The 14,460-nt window shown below is 42.8% G+C and overlaps 1 protein-coding gene across 7 annotated transcripts in view; it reads right to left on the minus strand.

The window, feature by feature from the left end:
* Positions 1–387: 387 nt before the first annotated feature.
* ADAMTS12 (ADAM metallopeptidase with thrombospondin type 1 motif 12) overlaps positions 388–14,460 on the minus strand; it is a 368,456-nt gene continuing 354,383 nt past the window's right edge. For all 7 annotated transcript variants that reach the window (NM_001324512.2, NM_030955.4, XM_017009905.2 and 4 more), the window contains 2 exons: positions 11,686–11,845; positions 388–4,219 (listed from right to left, as the gene is read on the minus strand). In NM_001324512.2, the coding sequence (NP_001311441.1) occupies positions 4,041–4,219; positions 11,686–11,845 (339 nt within the window). In that variant the 3' untranslated portion in view covers positions 388–4,040. The remainder of the gene's footprint in view (positions 4,220–11,685; positions 11,846–14,460) is intronic.

The following is a 14,460-nucleotide window of genomic DNA, read 5'->3' on the forward strand; positions in this document are numbered from 1 at the left end:
ATTGAATTCCCAAAGCAAATTCCCCTAGAGATGGGTCATTTTCTCTTAAGCATTAGGCCTACACTTTGGATAGATGAAGGAGTAGGTTCTGCTGTGAGCAGCATGAATATGTTGAATTCAGTGTTTTGGGGAATTTTAGGCATCACTTCAGATTATCATATGGTGGAGTGTGGCAGTTGTTGCACATTCATGAGAAGAGACCGGCTTACCTGGGATGTGACTCATCTGATGATGTACTGGTCTAGGGGTAGGGTAGGAGGGAATCTGGAATGAGTGTGGGAGGAAGAAATTGACAGCATCCTTTCCCAGGTTGCTAAAATCCATAGTAACACTGGTGGGTGGTGGGAGTCTCACAGCAGGGGTAAAAGAATCACACAGAAACATCAATGAGTTTGGCTATTTATTGATGCCACACAGAGGGAGGTTATGATTACAGTCTGGTTTTAAGTACTGAAATATCCACCAAGGTACCCCTTGAGGAGGCTGGGTAGAAGGGGAAATGGCAAAGCAGCACAGAGATGCAGGGAGGGCAATGGGCTGGGCCGTGTATGTCATACAATTATTTTGGAGGACAATGATGGGTAGGATTGTGCTTTACCCACCATGTTTTTTAGTAACATAACTTAGAATACTACTTGAATAAGCAGTACAGACAACAGGAGTAGCATCAAATATGTTAGCTAGGTTGTAACACCAGGCAGTTCATGTCATGTGGCCTCTCCTTCAAAAGTGAATCACTGTGGACCAAGCACCAGAAACATCGTCCCAAAGATTCATCTTGAAGTCAGAAAGGAGAAGAGCTAAGACCTGCACTCTCTGGAGTAGCAGTGTGCAGCTTTCAGAGTTTGGAAGATTTTAGTCAACTAAATGGGATGTTATTATCTAAAACAATATAATCTCTCACATTGTGTTTCAGATACTGGATGAAGGTTATCAGAAACATTCACTGACTATCTGAAAGCATCACAGTGGGATGTCAGCGGAGACGTGGCTGTCTCAGGAGATTGGACGGAGGTGTGCTCTTCTTTAAGAAAACCCATCACAAAACAAAGCATTCCTACAAAGGAGGCACTGAAACGATTTCCTGATTGAAGAAAGTAATCACTATTAAGTCTCCTGGAATATTGTTCTCTCGTGGTGTGTTTAATTACATTTTCATGTTTAAGAATTATATTAACCCACAACTTTCCAGAGAAGAGCTAAATATACTACTGTGAAAGACAACGTAAACCAAACTGGGTTTTAGAACGTTAATGTAGTTAAGTACCAGGCCCTGCGATGGCCCTCTCTATTTCATAGAGATATGTATCCAGTGTCTCCTGATACACTTCTCAGTTGCTTGATCCAGGTGAGAAGAAAGAAGGGCCTAGATAAAGTAAATCAACAACTCTGCTTCATATCAGCACCCAAGTATCAAAGATGTAAGATACCATGCAGGTTCCTGTCTTCAGAGTCTTCCTGTTGATCTGAGTCCCCTCTTGTACAGCAAGCACTGGGACATGTCAAAATACTGACGACTCATCACTGAGTGATCGCCAAGGCAACAGATGATACCAACAGGACAGAAAACAGCAAGCCCTGTCTTCATTCTGGAGTCAAGAATGATGGACATCACACAGCTGTCTTACAACATAGCTCCAGAACAGGAAGCAAATATCCATGGCAAATAATTAGGAGCCAATGTTCTGCCTTTGAGAAACTGGAAAAAGACCTAGAATGGAGCACCTGGCCAAACTCTCTCCACATGTCTACCATCTTCTCCACCACGTGGATTGTAAATAACGTGGTCCATTTTGTACACGGAGAAATTTGGCCTAGTTTAGTTGGTTGAGGTCAGTAGGAATCTGAGTTTGTTCCTGAGTTTTGTAAGCCTGGTCATACCCAGGTCTCTGATGACACGTATTTGACCCTATGCTAGTACAGTACCAGGTTAAATCAATCTAGCTTACTAAATGAATCCCCCTGAAAGACTACACTACACTTCAGGGACAGTCTTTGCAAACTGCCTCATTAGTAAATATCAGATTCTCCTCCACTCATGTCACTAACAATTTAAGTGTCTCCTCTCCTCGAAAACCATTATTCACCAGAGATTGCTATCGGCCAGCAATGTTTATGTTTAAAGGCAGAGAATACAATAATGTAATTATCATCTAGAAATAAATTCTCTGGCTTTAGGTAAACATTTGTACTTTCCTCCTGTTTCTGGTCTATCTTGAATTTCATCCCAATCCCACTGTTTTATTTTTCACAGGAATTCATGAGAGTAATACACGTTAATGGCTTGGAAAAAAATAAAAAGCACATAATATTAAATCTTAAATTCAAGGTACCCAAGCAATAAAACTGGCATTGGTCAGCAACACCGTTACATGTTTAACAGAAGATGTATATGGAGAGTTTCACATACACTTACCCATTTGTATGCCTATCTATGTTTACATTAATTCTGCCACCATCTAGATATTAGCACCATTTTTTTAATAGCACCATTCTGCTGAACGGATAGGTAAAGGGAGACGTGGGATATTGTGTTCCATGAGGAGTATTAAGTGTATCTGTGCATGAGTCAGAAAATATGCTGCCCATCACATGAAGGCCACATCCTTGCCTTTCTCCCTGTCAAGAATTGGTTCTGATATCTTCTTTCATTTGAAGCTTATGCCCCTCCACCCACCCACTTACCCTCTTTCTCTGGGTTCAGTTCATGTAAGTACCTTCCCTTAGAAATCACTTTGTCTAGAAATTTGCTCTGAATTTGAGACCAAGCCTACTTTGACTTCTGGTGGGAGGTAGGAACATCCAGAACAAGCATTCTAACTTTCATTTCAGTTTCTTTGGACTCCCTGATTCACCTGTTCTCCCCAAAGTAAAAGATCTTTAAGACTAACTACATATTGGGTACACTGAGGAGTAGATCCCCTTTACCTTACTTTTTAGAAATGTTTTTTCTCTAGATTAGAAGTTTGCACTATGTTCTTGTACTTAGTACAATTTACCTGGTTCTTTGAAATATTTTAATATGGAACCTCCATTTTCCAACCTGAGAAGAGGTGAGGACAGGTGGCAGCCCTAGAGCTGGTCATAGTGGTCTTTGCATATACAGCCCCTGCAGCAAGACGATGGTGGGACCTGAGCTCAGGCCTCCTGTGGGGACTGGAGGATGGGAGGAAGTCAGCCAGGAAGACACATTTTCCCTTCTGCAAAGGAGTGTGTATTTGCCAGGAAAGTGGGAAGAATAAAGGCCCACAGTTCCTTTTCTGTAATATTAAGAAATTGATTTCTGCTCATTTGCATTTTACGAGTTTTCATAGAAATGCTCTTCAAACCAGAAGTGTTTTCTGTGTAAGTGACCTAAACCCCTTAGGCTGTGTTTCTTATGCCTGTTTCCTCTTAGTCTAGTGTCCCAAGGTTGGCAGGAGACTCTAAGCAGCCCAGATATGGAGCCCTACAGGGATGGAGGAAGAGACTGAGGGATGTAACCAGCACTTCCTGCCCTAGTTGAACATGGGGTGAAGAAAGCAGTCCTCTGCCTGGATGAATTAAAGGAATGTTCCTAAAGCTCCGCTGTGACATTTTAAATAGCAGCTGCCCCAGGCAGGGAGGCAAGAAAAAAAAAAGAAAGGTATTCATCAAGATAAATTAAGAAGATTATTTGTCCCCTGGGTAAGTGTTGCCTGATACTCTTGAGGTAGTCAGGGAAATAGCTGGTCTCTTTGTTTTTATCTTTAAGGGAGAACAAAAATACAGTATTTCACAAATCTGTCTAACCTGGCACCTTTCCCAGGAGCCGATACCAGGTGCTGCCTGATTCTCCTAGCTATTTCACCTTCCTATCAGGGAGCAGCAAGTACGGCAGCCTAGGCCTCCTGTGAGGGACATTCGGTGGCTAGAGGAACACAATGGATTTTGTTTCATCATGACCCAAAGCTGAATCTGAAATATATGAAGCAAAACCTCAACGAAGCAGCTCCCAGGGCTAAAGCATGTCATGGTCAGCAGGCTGCTGCAGTCTGGTGGAAGCTGGCTTCCTTTTGGGCTTAGAGTTCTTTTGACTTTTGGAGCAACCGTTGCCTTCTTTGCCTTTGGGTGTGTGTGATGTGTGTCTGGGGACACGAGAAGCAGCACTCAGCCCTCACGGTGGGCACAGAACATTTCTTCATGGCTTTCAGTGTCTGGCAGAAACTGGCTGACAGTTTGTCCTTAGTGCAAAGTAAATCTGTGGAAGGAGAAAAAGAATAAGAAAAAAGTCCAAAGATTATCCTTTGTGGATATACAAGCACAACTTCTATTAATGTAAGACTTTATATGTCTACCAAGAAAGGAGCCATAACAATTCATAATAGGTGGTATCTACTGAATGTTTATTATGTATCAGACGCTGTGCAGAGTGTTTATGCTAAACTGAATTATCAGTCACAATTCTTCACTCCCATGTAATTGTTTTATACAGAACATTCCCTCCTTGCCATGGCTGCCTAGTGGGTGGAGAATCCTTCCCAACTACTTGCCTTTGGGTTCAGCTCTGTGACTTGCTTTAGATAATGGGATGCTAGTAGACACGATCTCTGCAGTGACTTGGAATGTGCAGGAGGACAAGCCTTCCCTGATGAGCTTCTGCTGTCACCATAAGAAGAACCTGGCTGGTGCAGCCACCAAGGGTGATAAGAGACACATGGGGCAGACCTGGACTCAACCTACAGTTAGCAGCCAAGGTCAACCAAAGCCAAGCTCAATCATGTGAACCTTGGCTGACCTATAGATGCTCAGCAAAAAATACATGACTGTGCATTATATGAAAAAGACACACACACATGCATGTTTATAGCAGCACAATTCACAATTGCAAAGATATGGAACCAACCTAAGGGCCCGTCAACCAATGAGTGGATACAGGAAAATGTGGTATATACACCCCAGGAAATATTACTCAACCAGAAAAAAAAAAAAAAGGAATGAAATAATGTTTTTTGCAGCAACTTGGGTGAAGCTGGAGGCCATTATTCTAAGTGAAGTAACTTCAGGAATGGAAAACCAAATATATGTTCTCATTTATAAGTGGGAGCTAAGCTATGAGGACTCAGAGGCATAAGAATGATATAATAGACAGGGGGCCCAGGGAGGAAACTTGGGGGTGGTAAGGAATAAAAGACTACATATTGGGTATAGTATACACTGCTTGGGAGATGGGTGCACTAAAATCTCAGAAATCGCCACTAAGGAACGTGAGTTTTGGTTATCCCCCACAACTACTTTGGTACCCCCAAAACTATTGAAATTGTAAAAAAGAAAAAAATACATGACTGTAGTTTTAAACCCGAGTGTCGGGGTGCTTTGCTATGCAGTATTGCTATGGAAATAGTTGAATGCAGTGTCTTCCATGCTTCACTACATTTCATCTTTACAGTGCTACTAGCAGACAAGTATTTTTTCCATTTCACAAATGACGAAAGTAAGGCCTCAAGTAGTGAAGAACTTGTATAAGGTTGTCCAGCTGATAAATGGCATAGCCAGATCTGAACACAGGCAGTCTTAACTCTAGAGCTCATGCTCTAATCAATCATACTATTCAGAGTGTCAAGCCAACAACCCGTCAGCAAAATAACCAATGCTTCCGGGCCGGGCATGGTGGCTCACGCCTGTAATCCCAGCACTTTGGGAGGCTGACGTGGGCGGATCATGAGGTCAGGAATTCGAGACTAGTCTAGCCAACATGGTGAAACCCCGTCTCTACTAAAAATACAAAAAGTAGCTGGGCGTGGTGGTGGGCGCCTGTAATCCCAGCTACTCAGGAGGCTGAGGCAGGAGAATCGCTTGAAACCGGAAGGTGGAGGTTGCAGTGAGCTGAGATCGTGCCATTGCACTCCAGCCTGGGCAACAAGAGTGAAACTTCATCTCAAAAAAAGAAGAAAAAAAATAATAACCAATGCTTCCAGAGTGAGTGAGGGATACAGACATAAACTGTGATCCCCGCCCTGCAGAACTTTACCATGGAGGTGAAGGCAGAAGATATGTACAAATAATTCCCAGAGTAAGTATACAATTAGTCACCTGAGTTCTAACCCTTGTTCTCCTCTAACTAGCTCTGGGAAAGTGTGTCCTTTAATTTTCTTGGCCTTGCTTTTCCCATACATGAGTCAGGGAACGAGAGTGGGTTGCTCAGGGACCACCCCCACACATTTGTACGGGTGGTTCTCAGATGGCACTGGCCTACACGTTCCAGGTCTGTTAAGAATTCAATTAGATTTTTTTTTTTCTAGAAAGTGAAGTTGTTTTAAGCTTGCCTTAGGTACTTCTTGGAGCTCTCATCTTTCTTTCTCCTTTACAGAGAAAATATTTTCATAGTTCTGAAGAAAAGCACTTTCATAAACAGGCCGCTGTCCTTTGTAAAGGGAACAGTCAGGAAAAGTAGAAATGGAAATAATAGCCTCTCCACCCCAAATTTGCGACAGTATCTTTGCATCTCTATGCTTTTTTCACCTTTAGATCATAAAGGCAAAAAATTCTTTTTATCTCCTCAGAACTCCTTATTCTCTTAACTGTGCCTTATTTTTGTGAAGAAATGAATGTCTTCTGTTAGCTTCCAGAGTCCTGTTTGGTGCTGAAGTTTTAAGTGCCCTTAGGAATTGGTAACATATAATGCTCCTAGATTCCAAAATCTGAGTCTTCAGCTTTCCTTCTTCAGGCCTCTTCTTTAAGCCTCTTATAAAAACCCTGTCTCTCTTAAAACCCCACAGGAAATTGCCTGACACCCTTGGGAGTTTCAGAGAGAGAGTACACGTTTTTGTATTTTGAGACGGTTCCCTCTGTCTCCCAGGCTGGAGTGCAGTGGCACAATCTCGGCTCACTGCAACCTCTGCCTCCCGGGTTCAAGCAATTCTCCTGCCTCAGCCTCCTGAGTAGTTGGGCCTACAGGCATGTGCCACCATGCCCAGCTAATTTTTTTTTTTGTATATTTAGTAGAGACGGGGTTTCACCATGTTGGTCAGGCTGGTCTTGAACTCCTGACCTCGAATGACCTGCCTGCCTCGGCCTCCCAAAGTGCTAGGATTACAGGTGTGAGCCACTGTGCCTGGCCTTGTTTTTCTTTTTGTTTCAGATTTTCTCCTCAAAATTCAACTTCAGAGAGTACATGTTTTGACCAAGCATGTCTCTTGTGGAATATCCCTTCCAGCTCTTCATCTCCCTCATCCCAGCAGAGCAGTGGGTGTTGTTCACTGGACCTGGGCCATGCACTGTGTGCACTGCTGATCGGAACAAGGCAAGGCTTCCTTCCCGGGCTCTGGGAAGCCCCCTGGCAGGGCAGTCCAAGCATCACAAAGCCGCCCCAGTTTCTTAGCCAGCCTCTCCTGAAGTCTCTGTGGATGGAGGCTGGAGAGGGCACAGGTGGGGCGGCTCTTTGCCCCACAATCTCGTCGCTGTGTCTGTGAGTGCTCTAGGGTTGCTGGCCAGGAGGAGAAAGACAGAGGAAGGGTGGAGGCTCAGCTGACAGCAACCGTTCCACAAAGCTTCTTCTGGCAGCGCTGACCCACATGAGTCCCCTCTGTCTCCATCTCCAAACAGGCATTATTGTATTACACACTCGGGCACGGCACCATACTCTCTCTTGACCTGCTCTGTAAATTGAGCATAAGCCTCTTCTGCTAAGGGCAAAGGTATCTGCCATTATAAAAAGGACCTCTAGGAGGCCCCCCAAAGGTTGTGGGTTGAACTGTATCCTTTGAAATGTACCCCAGAGTGGAAGTCCTCACCCTTTGTATCTGTGAATGTGATCTGATTTGGAAATAAGATCTTGGCAGATAGAATAATGATGTCAGTTAAGATGAGGTCACTCTGAACTAGGGTGGGCCCTTCATCCAACCTGAGTGGTGTCCTTATAAAAAGAGGAGAAGAGACACAGAGAGAGACACACATACAGAGGAGGAAAAGCCGTGCTGAGACACAGACACAGAGAGGAAAGACAGCCATGTGGTAATGGAGGCAGAGACTGGAATTCAGTTTCTGTAAGCCAAGGAATGCCAGTGATGGCCGGCAACCGCCAGCAGCTGGGAGAATGACTGTGGCCCTACTAATACCTTGATTTTGGACTTCTAGCCTCCAGAACTGTGAGAATAGATTTCTGTTGTCTTTAGTCACCTAGTTTATTATAATTTGTTATGGCAGCATGAATATGTGTGCTTGTAGCCCAGGAAGCTAATATACCCCTTCCTCCATGAAAGCAGAAAAAACACAGATACAAATTATTAAGCATTTACCACACACTAGGCAATGTTTGATATATACTATACCATTTGATTGTCGCAGAAATCAATAGATGTGGGTGCATGTATTCTTTTAATAACTGAGGGTTCCAGAGAAGCTTAGCAATTGACCCAACATCACACAGCTGGTACATAGATGGTGCCACTGGAAATTGAATGTTGTCTCAATAGCTCCCAAGCTTTGTCTCTGAGAGAATGAATCTCTTGTACTGGTGATGGGGCAGGAGAAGATCACATGAATAGGTCTTCTCTGCCCAGAACATCTTCTTTTTCTCAACACAGGAGGCCCACTTGTCAGGTTAGGTCAACACCTAAATGACTGAAAGAGACTCAACCAAGCCTGGAATCCTCACATGTTCTTGGAAACCATGAGATCAAGAGCCTTGCTTTTCAATAGTCCTTGGAGCCTGGATACATGCAAGGTCCTGGGGCCCCACTTTTTGAGAGTGGGGGACCGGAAGGAAGAGTGGAGGATGAGAGTGGCCTATATTGGCAGTCTGTGTTCCAGAACTATATTTAGCAACTCATTTAGATGATGACCGTGAGCCCAACATGATGACAGGGCTCAATTACATCAGTTCTCCCTATTGCTGTGAAACAATGAAGGCTTGTTGTGTTCATTAGTCAATTGGATTCCACTTCCAAAGTACATACAATGCTTATAATTATGGGCAACTTGGAGGGGAGATCCCAATTTGCCTCTGCTGGTTCAACAAAAATCACATTTGGAAATTTAAAGGGACAGTTATATGCCTGTATCTTTGTTGTCAGCTGCGTTATCAGGCGATAATATTTTTTTCACCAAAGAAGCTTGAAAAACAATTTCAATGTTGTTGACAAATACAGCTTCCATGACTTTGGGCTTCTTGAGGCCAAGAACTGTATTTTACTCATGTCTTTCTCCTCAGCTCTTAGCACTTCTCTGAGACATCTTGTGATCAATAATATTTTGTTGAATAAGTGAATGAATGAGATCCTATTCATCTGGCAGAATATTCTTTACTAGAAAATTTACCGACTTAAATGTTCATCTGTATCAACATTGGATCTAAGTACTGTTTCTATTTTTTTTTTTTTTTTGGCCTTTTCTACCCTTCCTCAAATTAAAAACAATAGCAGCAGCAACAACAAAACAACCCCAGGAATGGTAGGCTTAAGGGTTTTGCTTTTGTTTTTTAATCAATAAGAATGTAATGCTGAGAATAAAGCTGATACTTGGTAAATGAATTTTGTTGATTTTTTTTTCCATGTAGATATGTGGAAAGGGTTTTGTAGGCACTAATGTGGAAATAATAGTTCCAATTTAGATTTTAAGTCATTAAAACTTCAAATGGTTTCTAAAAGAAGTAAAATGACCTGGAGGAAACTAAACCTTATATGAATTCATACCTGATATTATAAAATATACTTAGGAGTATGTTATGTTTATTGTGAAAGCTGATTGACAAGAGTCTGGGCATTGAATGAATATTTTCAAAGAATTTTAGAGAATTATAGTGGTCAGGGTGGGTGGCTGGTTTCTTAAATCAAGGAATTTCTCACAACTCTTCTTTCATTTTCCTTCTATGTGAGTAGGCATGGCTCTGCCTTCAAAAGAAGCTAGTAATTAACTTTTGTGGCCCTGATAATTGTCAGTGAGTGGAATTCATTGTTAAGCACATCAATTGCCAGCCAACTATTCGTCGCCATTTATTCTGTGTGAGATTTCAAAATGAAAACTACCATCTATGCATTTAACCCTGTTTTGATTATTGAAGATTTTATTGTCCAGCAATAGGACAGTTGAAGACAACCTACATATAATTCAAAATAACAAGCCCTAACACTAGGCATGATCAACCAAGAGTAAGTTGTTGCTTCAGTTATATAAAAAATAACACAACATAGAAGGGATTCTATAGCCTCAACTATTTAAAGTATGGTACCATAGAAGGTAATGAAATGAAATGAAAGGAAAAGAGTCTCAAATTGGTCCCTTGGTCTAGAACGAGGTGCTTCTCAAACTTTGATGTGCACATGAATCACCAGGGATCTTGTTAAATGAAGATTCTAATTAGGTAGGTCTAGAGTGAGGCCTGAGAGCCTCAAACTCCCAGGAGATGCCAATTCAGCTTGTCCAGGGACCATGTTTTGAGAAGCAAGAGTCTGGAAGACATGAATAACACTTCTGAAAATGAGCTCTAGGTGGTTTCTTCTGGAATTTCAAGTAAGGCCAATGAAAGCCACCCTTAAGTGCAAGTCAGTAAGAGCTTCCTGTGATAATCACACCTAAAGCATTTCCTCGCTCAGTGCATTTTTATCAGTATTTCCAGACCAGATCTCTCTCCTGGCCTCCATACCTGTAGAGCAAACCAATCACAGGACACCCTTAACTAGATAATTCACAGACTCCTTAACAAACATGTCCCAGACAGAACTCACTATCTTCCCTCTTTCCCAAAGCTCCTGTTGGGCTTCCTCTCTCAGTGCATGGTAGCTTCATCTACTCAGCTGCCCAAGTCAAAATTATGGGCATTAGCCTTTCTCTCCTTTCTCCCAGCACAAAGGGCTATCAAATTTTTCTTTTAATGAGCTCCTGAATATACTCACTTCTCTGTTTTTAATTTTATTTAGAAATTTTACATGTCAATGAAGCCCAAACAATCAGTGGAATGGACATTATAGGTCATAGCTGAACCTACCCAACCTATAGGAGCTCCTTTGTCTCTCACGCAGAGAGCCTCCTGTAAATTCACTTCTCCTGGGGTAGCCCTTGGCCAATGGCTGAAGAGTGTGGGAGTGTGAATGTACCACTTACTGGCTCAGGAGTGGACAACTTGGGGGTATAACTTGTGCTCTGGAGCTGCCTGGAGGACCAGGCTGAAGCTAGGACTCAGGTTCCTGAGAAGGCACCCTGGCTGTGTCTCCTCGTTTTCCATCCAGCTTTCTCCACTCCCTTAATGATCTTCCATGGAAATACTTACTTAATGAATCCCTTGCACACACACTTTCACCCCAGAGCCTGCTTCTGGGGGACCTGGCCTAATGCAGTGGTACCAGATTTATAGAGATGACCATTTCACACTTGACTGGGTTCCTAAGAAAGGCTGGGATATCTCTCAAGACATCTTTGAAAGCATAGAAGTAATTCTCATCCATGTTGGATGACATCAGTGTGAACAGGCTTACAGAGAGAAAATGGTATTTTATGATACTCAATAAATAATAATAATAAAAAAAGAAAAATGGATGAGATACTCTCTCAAGAAGTTAGGATTCAAACCTCACCAGATCAGATAGTTTGTTCCCAGGGTTACTGGTTGACCTCTTTAACATTAAGATTTTCTATTCAGTAAAAGAAATGTAAAGCTATCTACAAGTTGTATCATGCAGGATGACATTTGTGCAAAGATCTCTTTCTCCCCGAGCAAACCCATTCACCCACCGGCACTTTTCTTGCAGGCCTGCTGGTTGCATTTTTTGAATTCTGGAGGTCTGGGTTTGTGATCACATAGACATTGGTCTTGGTCTTCAGTTTTATTGCCCTCTGAGGGCACACATTGGACAGTCCTCTTCTGAAAGCCACCTCCACAGGAAGTGGAACACTGAAAGAGAAGGTGAACAGAGAGTCAGAAGTCCTCCCCACGACTCCCAAGGAAACACCAGTAGAACACCTCCAATCCCACTGTGGTCAAGAATGGAAACATCTCAATAACCAGAAACCTTTTTGGAGGAGTCATAGAATAAAGGCACTAATAATTTGGAGATGTGAGTTTAGAGAGACTCTATACTATAGGTTGTGTGGATTGAATCTGACTGAAATTACTATTAGGTTCTCTGCAGAACGTGCTCCTTTTTCACACGTTTGAGAATGGCCTGATGCCTTTCGCCACATGGCTACAGCACTGGGCTCCAGGAACCTACGTTGGTGCCGTTGGACCCAGCCACCTGGCCACACATGACTGCTCTAGGGAAGGTCCCTGCATCAAGCTGGGCCAATCAGTCACTTCCTTGGGAATTTGAATTGAGACCCAGCCAGAGATTCCATCTAAGGCTGAAATTTGAAAACTTGGGTGTTGTTGGTGGCCACATTTCCTGCCAAGTAGAATGAGTGAAAACCAGATGGCAGAAAAGGTGAATGGAATGAAGCATGTGCTTAGAGAGGAACGGGAATGAGGGAGGCATTGCCCATGGGGTTCACACCCTTGGTTCTAGCTAAGACTCCCAACCCAAACATTCATCTTTGCATCATGAGTATATGGAGTGAAACATATGGAGGGAGGTTGAATTGCAAGCAAAGCAGAATACAATTTCATATCTGTGTCGTGGTACTTCGGCCTGAACTAATTTTGATTTGGGGCTGGGGATTGGATGTGAGGAGGGGTGGAGCTACCAGAAGAGATGAACGTTGGGTAAAAAGAGAAGTGGGAGGGAAAGACCCCAGTGGCATGCAGAGAATGTGGAATGGGGGTAGGGACAGGGCTGAGCATGGAAGCTGGGGAAGAAGCAGAGCAACAGCGGACCCAGCTCTGTGCCTAGCTGGACCAGGTCCTCTCAAGCCATTCTAATGATATGGTTCCACTGCAATGTCATGATCGCCCACCTGGCTGCAGGAGGGAGATTCGCTGGCCTGGGAAAGCAGTTTACATAAGATTCTTCAGGATGCAAGAAAATGTGCCTGAATTTACCACATATGCTCTTTTCTTAAATTATTTTTTGAGGTAAAATATATAAAGCACAAAATATACCATTTAAACCATTTTTTCTGAGACAAGGTCTGGCTCTATCACCCAGGCTGAAAGGCAGCGGCACAATCTCGGCTCACTGCAACCTCCCTCCCTGGGTTCAAGTGATTCTCCTACCTCAGACTCCCAAGTAGCTGGGACTACAGGCGTGTGCCACCACACCTGGTGACTTTTTCCTCTGGCACACTCGCTAAGTCAACTGGAAGTTTAGCCATTTGTTTCCAGATTCCAATTTTATTTTTTATTTTTGGCAAGGGGGAGCTAAAGATAGATCAGTGTAATTTTACAGGTTCCAAAATTGTATGAACCCATCTCTCTGCTCTTGTCTGCTGCCCCCATCTTTGTCCTTCTGGGTTTGTGCCATTTTTAGTGTTTTATGCCTTCTGCCTATTTAGTGGAGTTTTGAGAACAAGGGCAAATGTATATGTTCAATCCATAGCTTGTGTAGTTTCACTTAATAATAGATCATAGAGGTTACGAGTGATTCCAAAGGCTGGCCTGGTAGGTGTTAACCACTCTCTCATTATCCCTCCATTCTTTGCTATGCACAATTGGTTAATTCCTGACACACAGCTCTTCTAAGGAACTTCAACCCAAGTCCACCCCCGATAGACTCACCTGGAACTCCTTCAGGGAGTTAAAGGGGAGACTTAAAAATGTTCTTTTACAATTTTGAATCTTCTATGAGATTGTTTCCCTGAATGGGCCCAATTCTTACAGCATTTTTATGACTTCACATTGTATCACATTTTCTCTTTTCGAGGTCATGTTTGCTTTGATTAGAGGTACTTATTTTGTTATACAGAGCTCTGAGATATTTATAAAGAGCCTAGTCCTGAAATATATCCAGGCAGCTGGGGCAAGGCCTGCCAGGAGTAAGCATGGCCTTTGCTCAGGCCCATGTGGCTGGAGAAGGCCACTGCTGCCTTGATCCAATCTGCCATAATGTTAATAATGAATTTTGTGAAGCTCATGGCTAGACTAGGCACACAAATCTTGCTCAGAGGAGTGAGTATTAGTTTGGTAACTATTTATTGGGTGCCAACAGATAAACATTCTAGCAAAGGGGCAACTGTTAAGTAAATATGATCAATCAACTTGATGGAATATTACTGTAAAGAAGAGGTTAACATTAGTCCTGGTTCAGAGTACTTGGAGAGAAAAAATGACCTTGAAGTATGGTTTCCTTGGAAACTAGAGAGTTAAGGTAAATGCAAAAGATGATGACTGTCTTGTTCACTAGGAAATTCCTGACTGTAGGACTGCTCCCTACTGGAGGCCTGTGAGTTGGCATGTGGCCTTGGGCATGTGAGACCAAAATAGTTTAAAATATTGGCAAGAAACTGAGGCTGAGGCTTGTGTCAAGGTGACCTGTGTGCATCTTGGCTCTGATTTCTTGCTACCCATACATACCACACTTGACAGACAAGGAAGCAAATGAAGTTGTACTCTTGGATAGTTGCTGAAATTGTATC

Source organism: Homo sapiens, chromosome 5, assembly GCF_000001405.40.
Source record: "Homo sapiens chromosome 5, GRCh38.p14 Primary Assembly".
In the NCBI taxonomy this organism is placed as follows: Eukaryota; Metazoa; Chordata; class Mammalia; order Primates; family Hominidae; genus Homo; species Homo sapiens.